This window comes from Homo sapiens, chromosome 9, assembly GCF_000001405.40.
Source record: "Homo sapiens chromosome 9, GRCh38.p14 Primary Assembly".
Classification (NCBI taxonomy): domain Eukaryota; kingdom Metazoa; phylum Chordata; class Mammalia; order Primates; family Hominidae; genus Homo; species Homo sapiens.
The window spans coordinates 28,315,558-28,338,630 of record NC_000009.12 but is presented as its reverse complement, the minus strand read 5'-3'; the positions used below and the strand labels follow the sequence as shown (position 1 = coordinate 28,338,630).

The following is a 23,073-nucleotide window of genomic DNA, read 5'->3' as shown; positions in this document are numbered from 1 at the left end:
ATGACTAACTTACCTTCCACTGGTCCCTCCCACTACATGGGGGAATTATAGGAACTACAATTCAAGATGAGATTTGGGTGGAGACACAGCCAGACCACATCATTCTGCCCCTGGTACCTCCCAAATCTCATGTCCTCACATTTCAAAAGACAATCATGGCCTTCCAACAGTTCCCCAAAGTCTTAACTCATTCCAGCATTAACTCAAAAGTCCAAACCCAAAGTCTCATCTGAGACAAGGAAAATCCATTCCACCTATAAGCCTGTAAAATCAAAAGCAAGTTAGTTACTTCCTAGATATTATGGGGTTACAGGGATTGGGTAAATACACCTGTTCCAAATGGGAGAAATTGGCCAAAACAAAGGGGCTACAAGCCCCATGCAAGTCTGAAATCCAGCAGGACAGTCAAATATTAAAGGTCAAAACTAAACTCCTTTGACTCCTGTCTCACATCCAGGACACAATGATGCAAGAGGTGGGCTTGCATGAGGTGCCCATGGCCTTGGGCAGCTCTGTTCCTGTGGCTTTGCCAGGTACATCTCCCCTTCTCGGTTCTTTCATAGGCTGGCATTGAGTTTCTGTGGCTTTTCCAGGTGCATGGTACATGCTGTCAGTGGATATACCATTCTGGGGTCTGGACGATAGTGGCTGTCTTCTCATAGCTCCACCAGGCAGTACCCCAGTGGGGACTCTGTGTGGGAAGTTTTACCCCACATTTCCCTTCTGCACTTCTCTAACAGAGGTGCTCCATGAGGGCCCCACCCCTGCAGCAAACTTCTGCCTAGACACCCAGGCATTTCCATACATCCTCTGAAATCTAGGTGGATGTTCCCAAACCTCAATTCTTGACCTCTGTGCACCCATAGGCTCAATACCACATGTAAGCCTCCAAAGTTTGGGGCTGGCACTCTCTGAAGCAATGACCTAACCCGTAACTTGGCCCCCTTTAGCAATGGCTGGAGATGAAGTAGCTGGGACTCAGGGAACCATGTCCCAAGGCTGCACAGAGCAATGGGTATCTAGACCAGGCATAGGAAACCATTTATTCTTCATAGGCCTTCAGGCCTGTTATGGGAGAGGCTGCTGTGCAGGTCTCTGACATGCCCTGGAGACATTTTCCCCTTGTATTGGTGATAAAATTTGGCTCCGTGTTACTTATACAAATTTCTGCAGCTGGCTTGAATTTATCTTCAGAAAATGGAATTTTATTTTCTATCACATCTTCGGGCTGCAGATTTTCCAAACTTTCATGCCCTGCTTCCTGTTGAATGATTTGTTTACATTTGATTACAAAATGATTTGTTTAATTGTATTTTATTTTTAATATCAATTTTTTATTTTAATTTGGAGGGTCGTTTTTCCTACCACAACCTAGCAATTACCTTTAAATAATACATAAGCATTGTAGAAAATGTCTAAAATACAGAAAAGCACAAAGAGAGAAAGTGTTTTTCTCATAATTCTACTATTATTCTATAAAATATAACACTGTGCTTTCAGGAATTTCTCTATATACATATTCTATATATATAATATTTATGCTTTTATATTTTATTTTTATAATATGAAAGTATATATGTTCATTTATAATTAAAATTATTAAAATATTGAAAAGCTATGTGTAAAATTTTTAATAAGTTGATTCAAATTTTAGTACTTCAAAACAGTTGTCTATGTAAAGAATTACTGAGAGAAATAATTCTGTGATATGTGTGGTCAGCTCAAAATTGTCTTTGTGATTTTTTAAATATTCAAATTTTTATTTAAAAAAAGTATTCTAGTAATAAGCAAAATATTTTAAATCTGCTATTGCTATGGAAAATGAGGTGGTTTTTTTTTGCCACAATTTGCACTGGTAATGATTAAACGAACAGCTTATCACAACCATGCTTCTAAACCCAGATGCACATACATTTACCCAACTGATTTTTCTGCAAAGGTGCAAAAGTAGTTCAATGGAAGAAGAATCTCTTTAACAAACAGTACTAGAACCATTGAACAGCAGTAGACCAAAGAATGAAGTTTGACCTAAAACTGATGTTATTTTAAAATTAACTCAAAGTGGATTGTAGATCTAAGTGTAAAATATAAAACCATAAAATTTTCTGGAAAGGATGTATAGAAAGTCTTTATGACCTAGTGTCAGGTAAAGGTTTCTTACATTTACCAAAAAGAAATCCAAAAAGAAAAAATGGATAAATTGGATTTTCTCAAAATTAATAACTTTTGTTCTGTGAATGATACTGTTAAGAGGATGAAAAGACAAATTACCAACTTGAGGGGAAATACTTCCAAATCCTCTATCAAATGACTTGTATTAATAATATATAAAGAACTCTCTAAACTCAACATTAACAAAACATATAATCCAATTGGAAAATAAGCAAAAGTCTTAAACATCTTTCTAAAGAATATATACAAATGAGAAGTAAGCACAGGAAATTATGTTCAGCCATTTAGAGCAATGCAAATTAAAACTATGATGTGACACTACTACATATCTACTAGAACAGATAAAATTAAAGATAATACCAAATGTTGGCAAAGATGTTGAGATACTAGATCTCTCATATAATGCTGATGGGAATGTAAAATTGTATAACCACTCTGGAAATCTGTCAGGTTGTTTTTTTAAAAAAGAAATTAAACCTACAATATTACATCTAAAATTATACTACTGAGCATTGATCTAACAGAAAAGTAAACTTATGTTAGCACGAAAACCTGGAAATGAATGTAAATTGCAGTTTTACTTGTAATATCCAAAAACTGGAAACAACCCAAATGTCCTTCACTGGATGAATAGTTAAATAAACTGTTGTACATCCATGCCAATATTACTCAGCCAATAATTCATATTTTTAAAATTTGAATGCTTTCAAAAATGTCAGTGGTTATTTATCCTTGGATCATGGTTGACTTTATTGTTTTGTTTTACTACTTTTTAACATTTTTCAGCTTACTGACTGTTGGCATATGTTGTTTCTATAATCTTAAAAAAGTCCTCAGATATTTTTAAGGAAAACAAAAGAATATGCTTCTCAAACTGGGGTAAGATTCTTGTTAAGGAAACCCCAGAGCAATGTGCACAAATCCTCTGGATAAGCCCATCTTCCTGGAATATCTGTTTTATTTGAACACTTAGCATGGTATGTATATGGAAAGCATGGATATTTTGTGCAGTAGAATATGAAATTTGGGTATGTTTTTCACATGTAACAGATGATTACAAAGAAATGTCTTGCCTGAAGTGACTGCCCTAGGGCTACAATGCGAGATCCCTGGAGGGTTCTGTGAAGACCTCTCTATATTCATTCTTCTCTTAGATGACAATGTATATGAAGCACTCCTTGGCACAAATATGCATGGAATGTAACAATACCTTAAATGCTAGACTTTCTGTTGTTTCCACCTGTCATTTGACATGTATTGAGAATGTGACACCAGCTCTCCCTCCTAAGCCTCAGCATTGATCCTCTGCCTCAGAAGAGATGGAGAGTGTAGATCAGAATTAACAGCTAACTAGAGGAAGAGAAGGAATTTAAAAATAATTATAATTGTAGTGAATATGAACCTCATTCCACCAATATGGATAGGCAAGAAACATCACATTTCTATTATCTCTAAAGTAACTTAATTTCTAACCCTGGCCTCTATCTCACTGGCCTAGCAGGGAATTCTGACTCAGTCATTCCTGGGTTTCCCCTAACAAGTCTCATTATCCCTGCTTTGTCTTTGTGCCTGAATTCTGGTGTTTTAAATGGGGCCAAGGCCTCCGGGAATCCTCTCTTCATAGCTGTCTGAATACAATCACAATGCCCACTGTCATAAACCCCAGGATCATTTCAGGTTCATGACTGTGGTGCTCCAATACCTGCCTTGGGCATGAGTAGGACAGGACAGCTCCTTGAAGCACATCAATTCATTCCCTTTAATGTTGCCACTGTTTCATGGTTCCAGTAAGCATAGGACTCCACAGAGAGTTCTTACATAACCACTACGCCACCCAAACCTACTAGAGTCCCATTCTCTACGGAAAACACTTATTTAAAATGTACTACATACCAGGCATTGTTCTGAGTGCCTTATTACTATTAACTCATTTTTCCTCATAAAAACCCCACTTAGTAGAGGAAAAAGCAGTCACAGAGTTAAAGTATATGATTTTAGATACCTAAACCCATACTATTTTATTGAACTATACGTTGTGGATATTTTTCTAGTGGAATTCATTAACTAGGCTTCAATTGAAAAATAGACATAATAATTGGCTGAATAGTGTCTTTAAATAATTGTACCATTATTTAGTTCCCTAGTTTGCCATCAGAAGAAATATAAATACAGGATTTACAAATAGAGTTTCGTCACTCATAGTACCTTTTTTCCTCATGTATCTTATTTGCTTATAAGATTGAAAGCTCTCAGGCCATCTTCTTTCTTATATTTCATTAAATTTCTTACAGTAGGTAACATGTATGTGTCCACAACATTCACCCACCAGGGAAGCTACTCTATGTTCAGAGAAGGCTTCAGAGCAGAAACAGCTCCTGCTTTTACAAAGAAGCAAACTGCAGCACAAGGGGAAGCCTGTAATCTAATTTTCAAATCTGAAATATAAATCAGCGTTAGATAAATTCTTGATAATTTTGCTAATGTTACTGTGCCCCAGTATCATGGTTCCCTTTCTTTTATGAAACAGCAGACTGACAAAAGTATAATAAGGTCATTTGTAAGCAATATTTTCATTTCCTTTGCGCTTTTCAAATGAATATAATGTTAGATTTAATGCACTGAGAGAATGTCTGCTCATGTACAGTTTTTAAGTCATTTGGAGCAATGATGATACCCCGTTCGAATATCTTACATAGTAGTTGTATGACTTTTAAAGAACTGTGTATGCATAAATCAGAGGATATGGCACGGCCCTGACGTGATTATATTTTGAAAGTTCATTAAAAATATCTTAAGAGTACGTCACAGCTTTAATATGCACACTTGAGGATTGACTGGTTTTCAATTTGGTTTAATTTCCTGAATAACAATGTACATTTTTCATTTGAGGTATTTTGAAAACTAAGTAGTTATCACTGGATTAGAAGAAGAAGAAAAATGTATCTTCCCTTATCAGCTCCATCAAGTTACCATTGTGGCTTGACTTTGCCATGCAGTTGTCCTAAATATCTTTGTATTTACATTTGAATGTACCTTAGCCTCCCACCTAGATTAACCTTATACAAATCTGTCCTTTAAAAATGTCTGATGTGTCCTTAGACAATTACTAGTTGACCTACATTACCCTTACACTGAAAGGTCTCTTTCTTTTAAAGAAGCTTTACAGCAACTGTAGATATTTTTTATTGAATCAAGTGTTCTTCCTGTTTAATCAACTGTGTTCCCAAATGTAAGTATCTGCCTTCAATTGTTAAAACACAAAGACATGGGCACGATGTTTGCCTAACTTAATTGTTCTTCTTTTTGTGTGACTCACAACTTGTTAGAAAGCTTCTAGTGTGATGTTTCCTGTGGATGTGTCTCTTCTTTTTACTGACTGATTTTTGGAAAGACCAGCTGGATTTTGATCCGTAAAACTGCAGAAATTAAAGATAAATATCTCTGAATCATAACACTTTCATTTTCTTGTTAAAACATCTAGCTTTAAACTTTGAGGAGTGAGGATGTTTACCCGATCCCCTTCTTTCTGATTACATTTAATCATCAGATCACAGACCTAGAAAACAAGGCAGAGACCATTGAGTCAGCCCCCATCCCCACGCTGATATGTGCTTTAACCATTCACTTCCTATGGACTTTTCCTGGGCCAGAGTTTTACAGGTTTTCCTACTTAGGGATTTATGAATTCCTCCAGGCATGCGTTGAATTCTTATGACTAAATAAGGTTCTTGTTTCAATCAAACTCTATTCATTTCCTTTCATTTGATTCTCTTTTCATGAGAGGAACCAGTCAGATTCTTATAAGAGCCCATCTCTGTCTTGAGTTTGGCTCTTACAAAACCTTTTCCCCATTCCCCCTGCCTTTTTTTTTTTCTGTACTTAATTTTTATCCCATTTCAACAAGGCCAACTTCAAGAATAGATAGTACCACCCTAGGATGATTTGAGAAGTGTCCTTGTAAGAAATTTTCACCACAAAATATGTGTGCCTCTATTAAGACCATGTCTTTTTCGTTTATTAGAGAATTGGTACATTACTGTTTTCACTTCCAGAGAAACCTTCCATGTGAGTCTCAGGCCAGGTAAGGGTCAAAGAGGAAGCTCAGTGTAGCGCCTTGGATTATTAGGTTGATGCAAAAGTAATTGCGGTTTTGAAAGTGACGGCAAGACCACAATTACTTTGACATCAACCTAATAGAAACTACAGCCCCAGGCCTACTATCTACTTTTCAGGATTTTTTAAGTCTTAAGCAAGGACTAGAAAAAAAAAATTCTAAAAAGAGATTGAAAGGTGCCTAAATTGCTCTGAAAAATAAAGTCTATTAAAAAAATCAGAGAATTTTCTTCAGAGTTTACTTAAATGGCACATAACTGTGTGCTTTAATTAATTAGGTATCAGGTTAACGTAAGTTTATTTGGCATTTAGGTTGATTATTTTAATGAAAGATCAATATAAGAACTTTATTATCTACAAATGTTTTAGATAATCCTTTGAAAAATCAGGTAAGGCAAAAAGACTCTTTAATAAGAGATGTCATGAAGTTGGAGCTCAGATTTAGATGCGCCCACCACATCCAGGTTAGTGACATGTGCAAGGTGATCAGCAATTCCAAAAAAGTTTCTTTTTCCTTTATGTGATTTTTAAAGTATATCAGGATGGGAATGGTGGCTCATCCTGTAATCCTATCATTTTGGGGAGGCCAAGACAGGAGGATTGCTTGAGCCGGAGAGTCCGAGGCCAGGCTGGGCAACATGGTGAAACTCTGTCTCTAAAAAAATTACAAAAATTTGCCAGGCATGGTGGCGTGTGCCTGTAGTCCCAACTACTTGGGAGACTAAGGCTGGAGGATCACCAGAGCCCAGGATGTTGAGGCTACCCTGACCCATGATCAGGCCATTGCACTGTAGCCTGGGTGACAGAGTGAGACTTCTTCTCCAAAAAACAAAAAAGAAAAACTGTAACAATATTAGTTATGTGGGAAGAATTTATATGCATCAGAAAATGTACTCCTGTTTTGAGAGATTTACTTTGCATATCTTAGGGCCCAGTTTCTAGAAGTGATTAGAACAGATTCATATTTAGCATAGATAGCATTTTCAACTCTACTTGATTAATTAAGGTTATGGAGATTTAAGTTTTTTGCTTGTTTATTTGGTTTTTGTTCTTTTCTTCTTGCATATAAAATATAGAAGTTGTTTGCTTCTATATTCTTGGCCACAAATTATGAGACTGAACTAAAAGTTATTTTTAATTAATAATGTTTAAGATTTATTGAGAAAGTATGGGTTTTCTTTACCCCTCACCAATAAAGAGACCTGGAAAGGAATAAACTCTTTTGTTTCAGTTGAATACTTTTTAAAATTATTATGAAATTATTAGATTACTTAATAAATAATAAATATTTTGAAACATTGTTTTTAAAACAATGTCAACTTCACACAGGTTTAATAAAGAAAATTTAGCCTATTTAAGTTTATAACCATTAAGAAATAAAGTTAGAAATAGCAACAGTATCCTACCAGATCTTCATGTCTCTTGAAAATCTGTCTTATTTTTTGAATGAGGCAGAATGAATTACGAAATTTCATATTAAAACCTACCTAAATTATTTTTCTAATCCAAAATTTGTGGTCACTCTTTTGAACACCACATGTCCTGGAAGGTGAGAACGGGAGAAGAGTATACCACAAAGCATTAAGCATAAAAGAAACAGGATGTTAAAAGATGGCATGAAGTTGGGGCTCAGCTTTAGACCTGCCCACCATGTCCAGGTGTCACAGTCAAGGTGATCAGTAATTCACAATAACAGATCACATTTTGGGTGAATCAAGTGTTTCAGAGCCATTATTTATTTATTTATTCGTATAATTCTTTTACTAAATTCAGTATTTAGTAAACATCTACCATGTACCAAGCACAGCCCTTAGGGTCTAGGGATATGGAGATTAAAAATATGACCATCTAATATAATGTATCAATATTGGCTCATCAATGATAACAAATGTACCACACTAATGTGTGATGTTAATAATGAGGAAAACTTGTGGAGAGAGGATGGGTGACATATGGGAGCTCTCTGTACTTTACGCTTAATTTTCCTGTAAACCTAAAACTGCTCTTTGTCTTAGCTTGGGCTGTCATAACAAAATCCATAGACTGAGTGGCTTAAACAACAGAAATTTATTTCTCACAATTTTAGAGGCTGAGGAATTCAAGATTAAAGTGTCAGCAAGATAGATTTCATTCTGAGGTCTCTTATCTTGACTTGTAGGCAGTACCATCTCACTGTGTATTCACATTGCCTTATCTCTGTGTGGATGAGAAGAGAGAGAGAGCATTCTCTCCTGTTCGTTCTTATAAAGTTACTAATTCCATCATGAGGGTGCCATTCTCATGACCTGATTACCACTTAAAGACCTCATCTCCAAACACTATCGCATTGGGGGTTATGGCTTCAATAGATGAACACTAGGGGCGCAGAATTCAGTAAATAGCAAGCTCAAAAAATAAAGTGTTGAAATAAATACATAAAAATTAAAAGAAAGTGTCTATTGGAAGAGCTAAATACACAAATAGACAAATAAAGTTTCATAGAGCTATACACAGGTGAGGTGCTTTCATAGAGATATGCACAAGGTGATATAAAACCCCAGAGGATGGCTATCTAATTCAGGGTGGGGTCAGGATGGTCTGCATGGAAAAGGTCATGCCTGTTTGAAGTCTTGAAGGGCAAGTTAAAATTAGCCAGATAAAGAATATGGGGGAGGTAGCAGTTGCAGTGGTAAATGAGTGAAAGAAGGGGAGAGTGGGAAGGAAACTATTCCAGGCAGAGAGAATAGCAAGTGCAATTATATAAAGAATTTTTGTGTATGCTTGGATATCCTGGCTTGAACCGAAGCCCTGGCTCAAACAAGTCTGAACATGCATGTTGTACCAGGAGTCAATTATCATGAGCATTTTAGATTGAACAGGAGCAAAACTTGTATATACATGACAAGAAATAATGACTTGGCCGAAGAGACAGCGTGGTGTGTGCCCCTACCTTATTAGCCCAAGCCCTCAAGTTAAGCCATATGGAGAGAAGGGGTTTAGTAACAGGCAGAAGGTACTGCTTTGAAGGGAGTATTTGTCAGATACAGGGAAATAAGAAGCTCTGCTTTGTGCCATGGGACAGAATTATGACTAGAAATGGAGAGAACCATTCTTCCCACTTTTGGACAGAGGCAAAATGAGCTGAGCACAATTAGACTATTAGGAAATCTCGGCTCCTTTGGAAACTGGAGGCTTGGTTTCAGATTTGGGAGCCTTCTGTCTGTCTTAGTAAGTGACTGGAGCAAAGGAATATGCAAAAATATTTATGAACATGAGCAACACACCAAGAAATACTGGGACTGCTCTTGTAAGGGATAAGGCCTAGCTCGTATACGGATGGGGTGAGAACCTGAGAAGTCTCTGTGAAGGCCATTCAATGTATTCCATTAATTTTCACTGTTTTCTTAGATATTATTTTTTTGTCAAATGGCACCAGTATTAATCCCAGAAGGACTCACTGTCTCTCACTATTTTTGTCTTTCAACAATAAATCTTCAGAATTTTGACTGTGACCTACTGACATCTTGTAACCTGATCAATGTATGATATTGAGATGATATTCTTGGCTTACTAAAATAGTTAACTGGAAGAATCCTATAACTTATTTGAGTTCCATTGGATTATATACATATTTTTATGTACATTGCATTACTCCCTTAATGAAGAAAATTAAGGAAATTTGGCACATTATGGCTTTCCTAATGTTTTGCTTAGTGCCTTAAGGTTCTTAATGATTTGTTTTATGCCATTCCCAAGATTAAATTAAGGTTAGCATTCTAAATTATTTCCGTCATTCTGCTTTTTTTTTTTCAAAGATGGACTTTTTAAAAAATCTTTCTAAAAATTCCTCTTCTCTTCCTAGTTCCCACAATAATAACCAGCCCCTTAGAGATAAGAACAACATATTCTACAAGGATGCTGAAGGCATATGTTTGGTTGTGAAAATGTCTGACATATTTCTTCTGCTATTCATTTAGTTTTGTTCTTTTTGCTTCACAACCAACTCTCATTCTAATTATCACAACACATTGGACTTTCCATAATGTTAGATATAAATAACATTACAGACAGCCTTTTACTTTTTGGATACCTTATTGTTAATATCCCATCTCTACTTATCAAAAGGCAAGTAACAGCTGCCTTCTAACTTTCCTCATTTTGCTTACCTGAGAATGGTTGTCTCATTTCTACTACACGTGCTATGAGCCATAGGGTCTTTTCCTAGTGATTTCCTCTGGATACAATATATGATTTTCCATGTTCTTTAATATTCTCCACTGCAATTCTTCTTGCTGCGTATTTGTTCTCGCTCCTGCTAAGAGCTTTCTGATGCACACATTCACAGGGTCCAAAAGTCTGAAAGGAGGGTCTGGGCCCCTGGCTGCTGAGAGTGTATGTTGTACTTTCACATAACTCTTCCACTCTTATTTTTTTTCTTTCCTTCCTTCCTTCCTTTCTTCCTTTCTCCTTGCCTTCCTTCCTTTCTTTGTTTCTGTTGATCACATTACACTAGACGTTTAATGATAGAATATTGAATATATCACATGACTTTTTTTATTGATGAGTGATTTTCACATTATCATCACAGATTTGTAAGAACAGCTGCCAGTATATTTTATCAGATGAAACTAAAATTAACCAACTGTTTTATTGCCATACAAAGCCCATATATGTATAATATCAATTAGATGTTAGCACAAAGATGACAAAAACAAGTGTGCTTATTTCTGCTGTTTTTGAAAAACAAACAAAATTCTGAGATAAAATTTGCCAGTTTGACTGTAAAGGGAATATGGCCTATGGTAATTAAACACTGGGCCAAATAATCCTCCACACTCCCCCTAAGGGAGAACTGCTGTTGGACTAAGCTTAGAAGTAGATAAAAATGAGAGAGATTTTCCACCTCAACTCACAAAATGAGCTTGAAAAAGCCATTCATTCTTCCTCAGAGCTGGAAGAAATGCATTGCCAGTGGTTCTTGAGCTTATTCCTATTTTAAACATTTTTTCGGGACTTCTTCCTGCCGACTTAATACTCATTCAGCTGGAGGTGGGAATGATGGTAGCAGACTTTCTTAGTCCACATGGGCTGCTATAACAAAATACCTTAGACTGGGTAATCTATAAACAATAGTAATTTATTGCTCACAGTTCTTGAAGCTGGGAAGTCCAAAATTAAGGCAGCAGCAGAATGAGTGTCTAGGGAGGGCCTGTTTCTCATGGATGGCACCTTCTTACTGCATCTTCACATAGCAGAAGAGGTGAACAAGCCTTTTTGTAATGGTACTAATCCCATTCATGAGGGTGGAGCCCTCATGACCTAATCACTTCCCAAATGGCCACCTCTTAATGCCACCACATTGAAGATCAATTTTTCAACAAATGAATTTTGGAGAGACACAAATTGCATTCAGACCTTAGCAAGCCTGTTGGATGTGAAGAGGTGAATGAGGCCCTTAGCCATTCCCCTAGTGCTTTTCTCAGTAATGGTATTTATGTGTCCAGGGGTGACCATGTAACCAGCATGCCACAATCACCTATTGTGCCTGTTCTCTTGTGACCATGATCCCCAAGGAATATTGAACCTTCCTAACATTTGTGAATTATGGAGCCTATGATTTGGGATTAGAAAAATACTATTGATGTATTTTATTCAGTCGTTTATTTGAAAAACATTCATTAAGTATATACCATGTCTTAGAGCACTGTGCTATGTTCTGAGGATTAAAGAAAAGCAAAACAGTGAACGATGCCAATATAGTTCTTAATCTCATGGAACATACCATCTCATGGAAGAACCAGGTAATAGACAGGTGAACAACAAATACAGTAATTACTATTTGTGGTGAACACTGTATAAGAAACAAACAGGAAGCAGTGATATAGAATATCAAGTTTTTATAGCTAGGAATGCCAGAGAAAGTAAGATTTAAGTGAACAAACAAAGGAAGTGAAAAATTGGGTTAGGGTAGAGGAGCAAGGTTAAAGAATCTGAGGAAAAAACCGACATTGGCACGCACTAGAACTAAACACTTTATCTACAGCATTATAAAAACAGTTTGTGGCCGGGTGTGGTGGTTCACACCTGTAATCCCAGCACTTTGGGAGGCCAAGGTGGGCAGATCACGAGGTCAGGAGTTACAGACCAGCATGACCAACATGGTGAAATCCCATCTCTGCTAAAAATACAAAAATTAGTCACATATGGTAGCAGGTGACTGTGATTCCAGCTACTCGGGAGGCTGAGGCAGGAGGCTCGCTTGAACCCAGGAGGCGGAGGTTGCAGTGAGCCAAGATCACGCCACTGCACTCCAGCCTAAGCGACAGAGCGAGACTTTGTCTAAACAAAACAAAACAAAAGTTTGTATGTATGAATTGTCAAAGAAGAATTGCAATGGACAGACTTAAACAGGCAAGGATGACTTTATTTAAGACTGTTGCAGTAGGGGAGAGAGATTGAGCTCAACTCTGTTTAAATAAAATGTGGGAGAGTTTTTAAGCCCTGGTGTGAGCTAATAGGATAGTACTGGAGGGTACTAGGCCAGAGTTTAATCAATGTGATTAGACCATGTATTAGTTCATTTTCACACTGCCTATAAAGGCATACCCGAGACTGGGTAATTTATAAAGAAAAAGAGGTTTAATGGACTCACAGTTCCATGTGGCTGGGGAGGCGTCACAATCATGGCAGAAGGCAAAAGGCACATCTTACATGGTGACAGACGAGACAGAATGAGAACCAAGTGAAAAGGGAAATCCCTTATAAAACCATCAGGTCCTGTGAGACTTATTCACTTCCACAAGAACAGTATGGGGAAAACCACCCCCATAATTCAGTTATCTCCCACCGGGTCCCTCCCACAACACAGTGGGAATTATGGGAGCTACAATTCAAGATGAGATTTGGGTGGGTACACAGCCAAACCATATCAGACCGTGTGTGTTTTCTTATTGGTACTTAGTGAAGTTTGGCTCCAGCTGTTCTACAGAGACTAGGAGATAGGGGTTCTATCTTTCTTGATGATTATATTTCAAAGGTATGACTCCTAGGTCCTTAAAAAAGACTTTTCTAAGTTGTGTAACTGGCAAGAGGCTGAAACAAAATTTATGTCTTAAAGGGGAGGATAAATTATTTATAATTGCAAGTTTTCTAATATAAATGCCCTAAGGAAAGAGAATTCAGGGGCCTATAATCAGGAACAAACCTGTCTAAAGTTTAGTCAAGCTGAGAGAAACAGGCCATCTTAGTCAGTGACAGAGATGGGGGATAGGTAGGGGGAGAGGGAGGAGAGGGAGAGAAGGAGAGAGAGAGGGAGTGTATGTGAGCCTGAAAGAGAGATACGTGGAAGAGAGAAGTTAAGAGAGACATAAAATTTAGTTTGCTGCTCCATAGTCACACCTGGTACTGACTATGTTACTGGAAAGGGGTCTTCAAGAGAGGGTCCTTGGATCTCGTGCAAGAAAGAATTTGAGGCAAATCAATATTATCGGAGAAGTAAAGAAATAAAAGAATGGCTACTCTATAGGCAGAGCAGTGGCATGGGCTGCTCAGCTGCTTATATGTATTTTTACTTCTTGATTATATGTTAAACAAGGGTTAGTTTATTCATGAGTTTTCTGGGGAAGGGGTGGCCAATTCCTGGACCTGAGGGTTCCTCCCCTTTTTAGACCATATAGGGTAACTTCCTGATGTTGCCATGGTGTTTGTAAGCTGTTATGGCACTGGTGGAAGTATCTTTCAGCATGCTAATACATTATAATTAGCATATAATGAGCAGTGAGGATGACCAGAGGTTACTTTCATTGCCATCTTAGTTTTGGTGGGTTTTGGCAGATTCTTTACCACAGGCTATTTTATCAGCAAGGTCTTTATGACCTGTACATTGTGCCAACTTCCTATTCATCCTATGATTTAGAATGTCTAACCTCCTGGGAATGCAGCCCAGTAGGTTTCAGCCCCATTTTAACCAGCCCTTATTCAAGATGGAGTTGCTCTTGTTCAAACACCTCTGACAACTATACCTGGTTCCTTCACAAGTAAAAACCGATTACCGAAACCAGAGGTAGATGCAGGTTTGTGGGGCTTGAAGCTTATAAAATTTGGGGAAGGGATACGGCTATTATTTTTTTAAAAACACCAACAAACGAATAACTGCTAATGGAAAAATAGGAATGAAGCCTTGACAGGGGCCCGTGCAAGCCAGAGACTTTCAATCCTAAACTTGCTTGCTTCATGGTTAATCCCCTTCTGACTCTAAGTATTAGCCTTACGGATACAACATTTTGCTTTAGACAAATAATTTCCTCAGTATAACACACCAAGGCTTTTGTTTATATAAGAGCTGTAGAAAGCTGTGACTTTCTCTAGAATCTGCAAAACAAAGGAAGAGCCTTAGAGCATTTGTACTGTTAGGTTTCCTGGATTGCTTCGTTAACCTACCTGTCTTTTCTTATCAACTATTAGTATTTTAGGGGTAGCTTTTAATTTCTGTTATAATACCATGCATTATTTCTATCAGCTTCTTTACAAATTATATGTCTGATGATTCCTCCTCAGCCTCTTATTCTGATATATGGTGATGTTAGCCGTCTACCTTTTAAAGCAGGTGATGGTAATTAATTGTGATTGGTTACTGTCAGGTGCCCATTATCCTGCCATTGTTCTCCGAACTTATGTTTGCTTTGATGCTACGCTCTGGAGTTATTTACAGCTTATTTTGAGACTATTTTGGATCTGTTTGGCTTGCTTCTTATTTTATTGATTGATTGAGACAGAGTCTCCCTCCATTGCCTAGGCTGGAGTGCAATGACGTGATCTCAGCTCAGTGCAACCTCTGCCTCCCAGGTTCAAGTGATTCTCCTGCCTCAGCCTCCCAATTAGCTGGGATTACAGGTGCGCACCACCACACCTGGCTAATTTTTGTATTTTTAGTAGAGGTGGCATTTCACCATGTTGGCCAGGCTGGTCTAGAACTCCTGACCTCAAGTGATCCACTCACCTTGGCCTCTCAAAGTGTTGGGATTACAGGCGTGAGCCACCGCACCCAGGTTGTTTCTTATATTACTTTATCAGAGCAAATATAGTTATATCAAAAGGCACAGAATTTGCCTACAGAATGTGAGAGCTATAGGTAATCCATTAGGCCCACAGATTTTAAACTGTGAATTTTTTGAAGATCCTTTTGAAATTCTACAAGTTTTTCTGTGCATATATAACATATTAAACTGTATTTTAGGTGGCATAATAATAAACCACCCACTCTGGGACTATTTTTATACACCAGATTTTAACACACTGGAGACCATCAATATCTAAACATGTGATTCCAGGTTAACTCCCTTCTGGGCACAATTAGAATAAAGATTTTCCTGCCATACCTGCAATCAATGAGTATGTTGAGATTTCAAGGAGGTCAGTTTTTAAAAGCTCACTGTGTCTCACTGTGTACATATAAATAGGGATTTTCTTAACATATTCAGCTAGAAATTTTAAAATGTATTGGTCAGGCAATCTTATTACTTTCACTGAATGATTTCACAATAAATAAACATTGTGTCTTTGAATATATCAAATTAGCAATTTATTGAGGTTGTCTATATGATTTTATTTAGAGAGAAAATATATTCTGCTGCTAAAAAAAATTAGAAAAGCATCTTTACGTCCAGTGACTTACCCCAAATCATACAGGTAGTGATAGACAATCAGTACATGACAGTGTTTAAGAGCCTGGCCTTGGATCCAAACAGATCTGACTTTGAATTATGCCATACATAAATGTTTGATGTGCAAGTTCCTTAATTTTTATTAAATTCAGTGTCCTCTTCTATAAAGTGAATAAAATAAAATCTATTATGTTTGGTTATTTAAAAAAGTATTTATTGTAAACGTGTGTGTGTGTGTGTGTGTGTGTGTGTGTGTGTGTGTGTGTACTGAGTGCCTACTATGTCTAGGAACTATCAAATATGCAAAAGAGGCTTACTATTCTCAGTGAATCTTATATTTTAGTTGTGACAGGTAATATTTTTTAAGTGGAATGAAAATGGTGTGATATGATAGGAAGTCATTGATTAATTTTAGCTTGGGTGATCAGTGAAAACCTCTCTGATGAGGAAACATTTGTGCTGTCATCCAAATGATCAGAAGGATTCATCCATGAAATGTAAGGACATTCCAGGCAAAAGGGACAGTTGGAGCACAGGCCCAAGGCCAGTATGAACTTGATGTGTCTAAAGATGAAAAAAACCCATGTGTCTCAAGGTTAGTGTGTAAGGAGAATACTACAAGACAAAATTGGAGATGAAGCTTAGTAAGCTGAGGTAAGTAGTTTGGATTATTCCAAGTAGCATGGAAAGCTTTTGGAATGATGTGATTTTATTGTATTTACAAAATGGATCTCATTGATGGATGTATAAAAATATGCATCAAAATTAAATTGTTGAGTTTGTTTTTTTTCTTTTTTTCCATTCCAGTGACTGGAATCTAGCTTTCCATCGCCTGTCCTAACATCCAATGGAATTTATTTTGGGAAACTATCTCTTCATTGGTGGGTGTAATTGGGTGGGCCCTGACCTTGTCCCAACCCAGGACATGACCTAAAATATGTTCAGCATATATTTCCAATCTGAATTTGAATATAAGGCAGATCAACAATGAAATTGAGAATGTTTGAAGCCTGTTCATGTTGAATGGGACAGGTCCTATAGTCTCTGTTTCTTGGCCCTATTATAGCACTTCTCTGCTTTGAAATCTGCTTCTCCACTCTTCATTTTGAATTCATAAACTTTTAATATATTTCCAGTACATTCTCTTTAGCCAGTAACAGTTTCAATTGCTTGCAACCAGAGAACCTTAACTAATACAGCACATCAATTCACTGGCACATAGTAGGCCCTCCATTACTGTTATGACTAGTGATTGAGGTGAACTAGAACTCAGGTTTCCTAACTTTTGAATTTTCAGCACACTGGCTTTTGCATGTCTTTTATGTAGTTTCTGCCTGGCTATATGCAGTTTTCTCTGCCTCTAACATGTTATATCTTGTGGGCTGAATGATCCCATAGAGGCTTATTGTGACAACATGTTTGTCAAATGTTTTACTTCTGAAGCAGGTCTCTGGCTTCTTGATTCTTGAATTTCAGTAGGTAATTTGTTTGGGTATTTTCTCAAGATAGTTATGGAGAAACATATGGAATAGTTTGTATTCAACTCTTTGATAAGCATTTCTTTAAATGAAGTGAGTGTTTTAATTTCAATGGGATAAGGGTGAGAATGAATGTGATTGCATGAGTTTGCCAATATTTAAAAAAAATTAACAAAAATTAAAGTAACTTATTCATCCTAAGAAATGTGATTAAATGAGCTGTCATTTTATGCCATGGATTGGCAGCTGCAAGACAAAGTGCATTAAATTACTGATGCTGTCAATCAGACCATACTATACTTCTGTGCTATAAGAATCTGCCATTTGAAGCTAGCTAAAAGTGCTCCCCGAGTTTCAGTGTCCTGCCATGATAAAACAGGGCTTCTTAACGTCAAGAAGGAAACAGAAGGGGAACAGATGTCTGAGGGAGTTGGCAAGTAAACAAATCCCTAGTCTCAGTCTGGATTGAGAGTCCTCTATTGAATTGGATCTTTGAGAAGAAATCTTTTGAAGGTAATGAAGCTGCCATTCATAGAGAGCGATCTGGCTCCCGTCATTAAACTGTACTATATAGTACTGCCTCTGTCTTCTCCACTTCTGCGTCCTGTGCCTAAAGTTATATTCCTGACCCCATCCCTAGAACATATTGCCTAAGTGAACGTCTAAAGATACCTGTTTGTTTGACCAATTCATAAGTAAGTCTAATGCCATATAACTATTTCTCCAGAGCCTAAGAGCAGCACACACATCTGGAAAAGTAAATATAACTACTGAAATTGTCACCAATTATGTCGGCTAACTGCAGCATCATTCACAATTTGTGCAGTTGCACAGGTGTCTCACTAATGCTTAAATATTGGGATTGACAGAAACAATTATAGTTTCCCTTAGATTTCTAAGAACCCTTCAGTTCAGTGATAAGAGTAGTGGACTGGAGCTTAGAGACATGAATTCTACTCCTGGCTCTCATACTAATAAGATATATGACCTCAAGCAAATTACTTAATCTCACTGGCTGCTGCTTCTTCTTGGAAATGATGGAACTAAGCTATGTGACCCTTGAGAATGAGGGGATTGTATGTTTCCAATGCAAAACTGGAACAACTGACGTGTGATGGAATTTTTCTTGGGTGCACAAAGTATATTTTGCACACTAAAATATTCGTATAGCTGGAATTCCATAGGAGCAATGAGACAAAATGTTTGAAATCAGTAAAGTCTCAGAAAATTAGGGACATATTCTCACCCTACTAATTCTAGTACTTTAAGCCCTAAAATTCTAGTACTTTAAGATTCATGGTGACTCAGTGAAGCATTAATACCTTTTTCTTTTCTGTTTGTTTTCAATCAGTTTTCTTGCATGTAATTTACATATAAAAATTTACTCTTTTTAGGATTCAGTTCTATGAGTTTGGACAAATGCACACAGCAGTATAATCCCATCAGAAGAAAGATGTAAAACATTTCTATCACCCAAAAAATTGCCTCAAGCTCCTGTGTAATCAGTCGCCTCCTCTCATTCTCATTTCCTGGAAACAACCAATCTATTTTCTGCCTCTATAGTTTTGTCTTTTCCAAATGTCATATAACAGGAATCATACAGTATGTAACACTTTTATTTAGTGTCATAAATTTAAGATTCATTCACGCTGTATGTGTTACTAGTTTAAGTATGTTGCTGAGGGGTTGTGGTAGGAAGAATAATAACAGCCCCCCAAGATGTTCACACCCTAATCCCTGAAACTTATAAATCTCTTATTTTACATGATAAAAGCAATTTTGTAGATACAATTAAGATTTGGAATCTTAAAACAGAGAGATTATCCTGAATTATCTGAGTGGTCTTAATCTAATCATATAAATCCATATAAGAGAGTAGTAAAGAAAAAGATAGATGAAAGAAGGAGCAGAGATTAGAAGACTGACAGGGTTCCACCCATTATTGCTGGCTTTGAGAATGGAGGAGGAGAGGGGCCACAAGTCACGGAAGGTGGGTGGCCATCCCTATTACTTTTGAAATCTATATGGAAGCCCCAATTTTCCCATTATACATTGTGTTAAATTTGATTTCATGTGTAGATCCTGACTCTTTAAATGTTTATTTCTCTTCTGTCTGCTGGGCAGTTCATACTTTGTAATTATTTCTAATAAATGCAATACATAAATTGTCACTGACTATAAAGAGTTTTAAACTATTAACTAATGGAAGAGGCTTTTGAGTCAGCCCTACATTCTAAGGCTCCTTCTGCCACTTACTAACCAAGTGTATGTAGCAAGCAGCTGAACATCTCTAAGCTTCAGTTTTTAACTTGTAAAAAGTGGGAAACAATAAAGATTATTGTTATGAGGATTAAGTAGTGTTTTGTCAAGTGTTTGCTTAGTACAGTGCCTAGCCTAGAGAAAGCACCCAAGAAATGATGGTTTTATTGTTATCACAATTTTTAGTAATAAGCATTTCCAATAGTAATCTTAGGTCTTTATATTTTCAAATATAGGGATCTCTTTTGTGGGACATACTTACTAATTAAATACCCACATGACCAGTAATGCCAGGCGGAATTCTTGTCAATAGACAATACAACAATTGATCTCTCTGTCCTTTGGAGCTCATTTTCTAAGTAGACTGTTTTTTTTATAGTTGTGAAAAAGCATGAAATTTAGCTTCAGCCAAACAAGTGTCACATTCTATCACTGACCATTGCAAGTGACTTTGTGCATGCTATTTAACCTTTTTGAACTTGATAAAAATAATCTCCAACTCCCAAAGTTATCATGAGGTTCTACTAAGATGAACACATAGTTCACACTTTAAATATTAATTTTCTTCTCCCAAACAGAAATTTGGAGATTATACAATATAATATATGCTTATGAATAAATCAATGATATAAATAGAAATATGTGTATAATTTGATGTTCATGATCTGTATTTAACTTTTTCAAGTGCTAATTTACAATGAGGAGTTGTCACTCAATGTATTTCAGTTCTATAGAAACAGTGAAATTAAAGAAATTCTTTCCTTTGCATTTCTTAGGTGTTTATAAGGACAGAAGTGCTTTGAGTCATTCTTGTTCCGATTGTGAAGCAAATTAGTCCAATTGTAGCCTGATATTAACTCAGTGAACCTTGAAAGAACATGGGAATCCTGGTGGGATGAAGGGCCAGGTACCTGTTTCAACTCAGTTGCTTCTTGTATGGCTGCAGCATATGTGTATTCCTTGCTGATAGTCTTTTGATGTGACTCATGCACAGATGTCTGAGAGAATGGCCATTCAAACTCCCTCTTTATCTCTTTTTGTTGTGTTATGCTTAGTCCCAACAAAGGCAGGGACTGGGTTTGACTGGACTGCATTATGGGGACTCTAAAAGTTGGCCCATACCCTGTGTGGCAGACAGAACTGTGACTTAAATTAGCAGACAGGGAGCCTTTGAAAGTTAGTAACTGCTAACACAGCTGGCTGTTCTCGTACCCTGTATGAATTAATATAATATTTCATTTTTACTATCAACCCACTTTTATGTGAACAGTAGAAAAGGGAGAAAGCAAATAGAATGAACGTCTTTTGAAAGTATCTTTTTTTAACACTCTGTTTTTTCAGAATAATGAATCCATTAAAATTTCATCCTCACAATATTCAAGTTTCAATTATAATCCATAGAACCCTCATGGCCTCTACCAAACTTATTTCACCTTGAACAGCTCTACTTTTAGCTATTTTACATATTTTGCTTCCAATAATGATCTGAAAGTTCTGAAAGGTTTTACTAATAAAGTTACAAAGCAACATGTTTAATCTAAGGTAGAAACATTTTTCAGTCACATTTATAAGATTTTTATTTGTCTTTTTAAGACATTTGTTTGACACAAATTAGGGAGAAATCTTCATCAGAAACTTTTCTTCTAGCTCTCCAACTGAGATAAACAAGGAAAGGTCAATCTAGAATTTCAGCTCTCTCATGAAAATTATATCTCTCTTTTCTCACAAATATATATGGAACTCATACTGACAAAATGCATCACATGCTGAATGCATCTTTATAATTCGTGCTTCAAGAATAGTTGAGCCGAATCTTCAGACCTCAAAGTTTCACATTGTTCTGTGAAACAGAAGAAACATAATTGGAATACATTAATACAGTACAAAAGAATATATTTCTAAGAACTTAGTTTTTCTAAGAAAAAGAGAGTTAACCTCTTCAACATAAGGATAATGACGGATATACATTGTCATGTAGGTGAAATAGCCAAGTTAGCATAGTGCATGTAGCATGTACTCAACTGATGCAAGGGACTTTTGGCAGTTAATGGAAACAAAATGGAGATTGAGCTTTCTGTATTCTCAGATGGCTAGCAGATAAGGGTGCTTAAAAATCCCTCATCCTAATTTTTACTAATCATCCTGGTGTCAGATTAAACGTCTTTCTGAAAGGCCTTCTTGGAACTTCTTGGCATAAATTAAACCCTCTTCTATAATCTTATATACTTAGTTTGTGTGTATTTGTTAATGTCTCCTTCATCTCTTCTGCTTAAGACACTCTGTGTATATTGGTTTCATAAATGTGATTTGTCCTTTAGTCCAAGTTCAAATGCCGGTTCCTCTCTGGGGACTTGCTTGACACATCCTAAAACAACTCAATTTTACATGATCTTTTTTGTAACTTCTTTGTAATTGTACCTGTATTATAGAAGTTTTCAAAGTTTTTCAAATTAGCTATGTACTTTTCCAGATTCCACTTCTTTGCCTCTATTCCCTACTTCCTGCAATATCTTAAATCCTTTAAAAGCCAAGGTCAGTGTCTTAATAATTTTGAGTTCCCTCAAATCCCAACACAGAGCTGGCATATGGTAATCTTCAATTTTTACATAAAACATATTGCCTTATCTGTTTGTCTTCATCCGTTTTTTTATTTTGATAAGAGTAGATAATGAAATACATATCTCCTCACTATATATTTCATTGTACAGTCATTAAATTTTAAAAAAAAGTTTTGGTACTGTTTTCAAAATATGTGTATATACATGTAATAATATATATTTAATAATTGTTTTTATAACTAACATTTATTGGCTGCTTATTATTAATATATGACAAGTGCTATACTAAATGCTTCATATGTATTTGCTCATTTAAAGTTTCTGACAATTCTATAAAGTGAGAAATATTTTTTATTATTATCTGTATTTGTAAATGAGAAACTTGAGGGAAAGAAAGGTTTAGAGACTTGGCCAACAATCACATAGGTAAGTGATAATTGGCAGAGCCACTTTTAAATTTGAAACTCAGAAGATCTGGTCCTGGAGCCTACGCATTTAACCCAAAAACTAATTTGCATATTCACAAATCTTACGCTATTATTATACCCTATACTAAGAATTATGTACTTTGAATGTCATATTCATAGTTTTTACTCCAATAAACATATATGAAATAGAAATTAGAAAACGATAAAATTTGAGTATATAAATGAAGTTCTGGTATTTTCTTGCTGAACTACAGTGGATGTTCTCATGTATGCTGGGAGTGCCACATTCCACTTGGATCCCACTGATGAAATGATCTAAACTAGTAAATCATCTACCAATGCTTTTAAGATCTCTTTCACTTAACCAGCCCTTCTTTTTATTAAAACCTAGATAATATGAATATAATATTTCAAGTGACAAAAA

At 36.4% G+C, this 23,073-nt stretch overlaps 1 protein-coding gene across 14 annotated transcripts in view, besides 1 other annotated feature; it reads left to right on the top strand.

Moving 5' to 3' along the window:
• Positions 1-23,073, top strand: part of LINGO2 (leucine rich repeat and Ig domain containing 2) — a 1,275,985-nt gene that overhangs the window by 874,971 nt on the left and 377,941 nt on the right. The window lies entirely within an intron of this gene.
• Positions 20,427-20,928: an enhancer, noted in NCBI's record as "NANOG hESC enhancer chr9:28317701-28318202 (GRCh37/hg19 assembly coordinates)". NCBI's record gives its function as "activates a minimal SCP1, AML or CMV promoter by ChIP-STARR-seq in naive H9 embryonic stem cells {active_cell/tissue: H9 hESC(naive)}" and the evidence as "EXISTENCE:reporter gene assay evidence [ECO:0000049][PMID:30033119]".